The sequence below is a fragment of the Homo sapiens genome, chromosome 9, assembly GCF_000001405.40.
Source record: "Homo sapiens chromosome 9, GRCh38.p14 Primary Assembly".
Taxonomy (NCBI): Eukaryota; Metazoa; Chordata; class Mammalia; order Primates; family Hominidae; genus Homo; species Homo sapiens.
This window is the reverse complement of record NC_000009.12, coordinates 90,250,966-90,256,356: the sequence shown is the minus strand read 5'-3', so window position 1 is coordinate 90,256,356 and position 5,391 is coordinate 90,250,966. Positions and strand designations below refer to the sequence as shown.

Here is a 5,391-nt window from a genome sequence, read left to right as displayed (position 1 = left end):
AAATAATAAAGGCTTTAATTGTAAAGCTAAATGAAAATAACAACTCTTGGGACAGAAAACCCAAAGATCATTTCTTAAACTTATAGATGGCTAGATTCAAAATAACAAACATTTCAGACTGGGTGCTGTGGCTCACGCCTGGAATCCCAGCACTCTGGGAGGCTGAGGCAGGTGGATCACTTGAGGTCAGGAGTTTGAGACCAATCTGGCCAACATGGTGAAACCCCATCTCTACTAAAAATACAAAAAATTAGCCAGGCGTGGTGGCGCATGCCTGTAATCCCAGCTACTTGGGAAGCTGAGGCAGGAGAATCACTGGAACCCGGGAGGCAGAGGTTGCAGTTAGCCAGGATCGCACCACTGCACTCCAGCCTGGGTGACAGAGCAAGACTCCATCTCAAAACAAAACAAAACAAAAACATTTCAAGTCATTTTTTTTTTTGCCATGAACACACATTTTTTTAAACAAGAGGGAAAACTTTGCTTCTTCCTCTCAGAAGCTGCAATGTGTGAGGACCGTGACCTGAGAGTCCACCACCAGCTACCTATTTAGCAATGGGATAAACGGTGACCCAGTTCCTTCCTGTGTGACACCCTTTGAGGAAGAAAGTCAAGTTAAAGTAAGGTACTAGTTAAAGTAAGGACTAGTTGAGACTGTGCGTTATTAATGCCAATAAATTTTAGACCCCACAAAGTCTGGAGCCATCTCTACTGAAAACACACTTCTCAACAACCACATGAAAGTTCAAATGCCGTTGAAATGTCTTTGATATTGAAGATGTTATGCTCCACATAAGAACTGTGCCCCTTGCCTATCTATCTATAAGTAAATTTAAGTATTGTTTGTATACAATAAAAAGCGATAATAATGATATCTAATCCATGGAAATTAAAAGTACAGAACTAAGCACTAGGAAAATAGTATGCATGTGAGGAAGTAGTTGGAATCAATTTTTGTCTAATTTTCTAGTGCTTTAGGGCAGGGTTTATGGTACTGATTAATTTTAGAATAGCTAAGAATGCCTGATACGATTTGAAAGATAAGCACTAAAGAATATAAATAATATTGGGTTAACTTCCCAATGAGAAAAGGGAAAATAAACTAAAACACAATTCTGGTTGTATTAAAGACTTAACGGTTAATACTTTAAAACTTGCCAATATTTAGTGGAAAGCACAGGAGAATATGATAGTGGGGTAAGGAAGAATTTCTTAAATAAAATACCAATAATAAAAACTATTTATAAAGTTGATTGAATTCAATTTAAAACTTACCTTCCTAAAAGACAGAATGGGATGGGCGCGGTGGCTCACTCCTGTAATCCCAGCACTTTGGGAGGCTGAGGCGGGTGGATCATCTGAGGCCAGGAGTTCAAGACCAGCCTGGCTAAGATGGTGAAACCCCATCACTACTAAAAATACAACAATTAGCCGGGCGTGGTGGTGGGCGCCTGTAATCCCAGCTACTCGGGAGGCTAAGGCAGAGAACCGCTTGAACCCGGGAGGCGGAGATTGCAGTGAGCCGAGATCATGCCACTGCACTCCAGCCTGGGTGACAGAGCGAGACTCTGTCAAAAAAAAAAAAAAAAAAAAAGAATATGAAAAAGAAAAGTCACAAATAGTGTTATGTTTGCAACATGATAATTCAAAAAGAACATTTTAGAAAGTTTACGACTCAATAAGGAAAAGAGAAACCCAATAAAAATTGCACAACCATGACCAGTGATACAAATGATGAAGAAACATATAAAAAAATGCCTAGCCTCATTTTTACTCAAAGTCTTACTAATGTAAATTACAGTGAGATGCCATTTCTCATCTGTCAGAGCAGCTAGATCAAAAGGCCAGTTAATAAACCTGAGAATGATAGTGAAGCAATAGAAACCCTTGGGCCTAGGTGGTAGATGTAAAAAGGCCTGATCCCTTTGGAAAACAATTGCATTGCATAATCATCCCACTCCTGAGTTTTTGTCTTGGCAAACCCTTGCACATTCCCACTAAGATTAAGAACAAAAATGCTCATATATCTGCATATCTTCTGAAGAAAAACAGAATCTGCTCTGGGTAATTTTGACTGAAGGAAGATAAATCACAGAATATTTCGAAGCTTGGTGAACCTAGGAAAGGCCTTCAGAAGCAGACTAAATCAAACTTCCAAAAATGTTGGAGAGAGACCTACTGCAGAAACAGTCTGCAGAACCAGCCAAGGCAGAAGCTGAACCGGCTGCCACAAGCTCCAGAAACCCACAGCAAATGGCCTGGGGAAGGGCTGCTGCAACCTGCGCTCGGCTCCAACAGTGACAGCAGAAACGGCTACCTTCTGCAAAACCTGCACATTTCCGAGCTCACTTCCTCACGGAAAACTTCATGGATGCCTTCTTGACCTGCACTGTAGCTGCAAGACATATTTGCGGAAAACAAAGCTAGCAACGTGAGAAATTTCCAAAATATGAAAAAGGAAGAATGTTATTAACAACATTAACAAAATGAGAAAAAATCATATGATCATCTTAATAGATGGAAGGAAACATTTGACATAATCCAATACCCATTTATGATAAAAATTTTCAGCAAAGTAGGACTAGAAGGGAACTCTACCTGAAAAAGGGCATCTAGATGAAAAGCCCAGAGCTAAAAATCATACTTAAAGGTAAAAGGGTGAATGCCTGCCCCTTGGGACTGAGGCATGGATATTGGCTGCCACTGCTTTTATTCAGTCAATGAAAAGAGTCAAACTCTGTAAAATATTTGAAGAGATTTATCCTAAGCCAAATATGAATGGCTGATGGCCTGTGGCACAGCCCCAGGAGACCCTGAGAACATGGGCCCAAGGTGGGCAGGCCACAGCTTGGTTTTATACATTTTAGGGAGATATAAGACATCAATCAGTACATGTAAGATGTACCTTGGTTCGGTCCAGAAAGGCAGGACAACTCAAAGCAGTGATGAGGGGGCTTCCAGGTCATAGATGGATTCAATAATTTTCTAATTGCCAATTGGTTGAAAGAGTTACATTATTGTCTATGGACCTAGAATCAATAGACGGGAATGTCTCAGCTAAGATAAGGGGTTGGGGAGGCCAAGGTTCCCATTATGCAGATAGAATCAATAGAAGGGAATGTTTCTTATCAGACTTAAAGAATCTGTTCTACCAGTCTTCAGATCTCCATTTTAAATGTTAATGCAGGCCAGCTGTGCCTAAATTTCAATGAAAGGTGGGTATAATGAGGCATGTCTGACCCTCACTTCCCATCATGACCTGAACTAGTTTATCAGGTTAACTTTAGAATGTCCTTGGCCAAGGGGAGGGTCCATCAGTTGGTTGGGGGTGCTTAGAATTGTATTTTTGGTTTTTATCAGTATTGTGCTGAAAGTTCTGACCACTGCAATAAAGCAAGAAAAAAAAAAGACAAAAAGATTGAAAAGGATAAGTTAAAATGTTTCTATTTGTGAATGGCTTAATTGAGTACGTAGAAAACTCTAAGGACTCTTTGTGGCAGCTACTAGAACTAATATGCAAATGTATCAAGGTTATGGGATACAAAGTATACATACGAATAATTATATTTCTACCTACTAGCAACACTGAACAGAAATTGAAATTGTAAGAAATACCATTTACAATAACAACAACAACAACAGCAAAAGCCCTAGGATTCAATTTAACAAAACATTTGCAAGACCTGTACAATAAACACCACAAAGTATTGTTCAGAGACATTAAAGACACATAAATGGAAAGATATAGTATGTTTCTAGTTTGGAAGATACAACATTATTAACAGGGGTTTCAATGATAATTGGGGTTTCAATCACCCCAAATCAATCAATAGATTCTTCACAGTAGGCATTTTTTGGTAGAAATTGGCAAACTGATATACAAATTTGTATTGCAAATGACCTAGAATAGCCAAGACAATCTTGAAAAGTAAGAACAAAGTTGGAGAATATGCACTACCTGAGTTCAGACTTACTGTAATGATAAAGCAACCATGACAGTGTGGCACTGGTGAAAGGATAGGCAAGTAGGTCAACAGAATAGAATAGAAAATTGAGATATACAGGATAGCCAGCAAGTCTTGGAAAAATAAGTAAACATATAATAAATTAGTACTCCATAACTATACATGATAAAATAATTATACATGTCAAAATTTTACAGAAACCCTATAAGTCTACACATGTGCAATGACTAGATTTTCAACAAATATGACAAGCTAGCTAACTAAAAGAGAAAAATATTTTCAAAAACTCATGCTGGAAAAATTAGATATCCACAAGGAACAAAAGAACCTTAAACTAAAAACCAAAGATAACTTCAGATCAATCATAGATTAAATGTTAAATCAAAAAATATACAGTTGTTAAAAAATAGAAAATATAACTTTGTAATCTTTTATGAAGTAAAGATTTCTCAGATGAGAAAACACTAATCATGACATTAAAAATAGAATTTAAAATATTGCTTTGCAATCTTTTATGAATTAAGGATTTCTCAGATGATAAAAAACACTAATCATAACATTAAATATAATAGAATTTAATAAAATTAAAAATTACTGCTCATCAAAAAAATCATCATTGAAAGAATTGAAATACAAACCAAAGAGTTGGAGAAAATACTTGCAATACATACATGCACTAGGAATTGCATCCAGAAAATATATTCTTATAAAGCAATAATCAAATTAAAAACAACCCAACTGAAAAAAAAAAGGCAGGGGGAAGTGTGGGCAAAAATCTTAAACAGACATTTCACAATATAATCAACATCATTAGTCATCAGTAAGACAACAATTAACATTACAATGAATAACCACTTCAAGGTACTAGAATGGCCTTTGTCTGTGACAGACAATGACTAAATAGTGGTGTGCACAACTAATGGAATCATGCATCAATGAAGATGAACTATTTGAAGTACACACACCAACATGAATGGATCTCTCAAACATAAAGAGCCAAACAAAAAAACAATTTCAGAAGAATACATGTGCTGTGAATCCACACTTTTTGTTTACAATTAAACAAGAAGTAAGCAAATCAAATCAGTTTGTTTGAGGATATATGACAAAAGTATAATAGACTTAAACTGTAAGAGTGTGGTTTCCCTGTTATGTGGAGGAAGACGATGGGGTATGAGCACATCCTTCAAGGAGCTCCGAAACTATTGGTAATAACCCATTTCTTCAGCTGAATGGTGAATACACTGGTGTTTTTGTCACTTCCTTTCCTTTACAGATTATTACTCATATACAATATCTTGTTCTTATGAAGTACACAATAAAAAGGTAGCTTAGAAAAATTAAGTATGAAAGTACCTATACAGCATATGCATAACAATGGCATACATATCCATAGGACCAAAAAGTAGGGTGCATGTAGATTTTG

At 36.8% G+C, this 5,391-nt stretch overlaps 1 annotated feature.

Annotated features, from left to right (window-relative positions):
* Nucleotides 4,587–5,108: an enhancer, noted in NCBI's record as "NANOG hESC enhancer chr9:93013531-93014052 (GRCh37/hg19 assembly coordinates)". NCBI's record gives its function as "activates a minimal SCP1, AML or CMV promoter by ChIP-STARR-seq in naive H9 embryonic stem cells {active_cell/tissue: H9 hESC(naive)}" and the evidence as "EXISTENCE:reporter gene assay evidence [ECO:0000049][PMID:30033119]".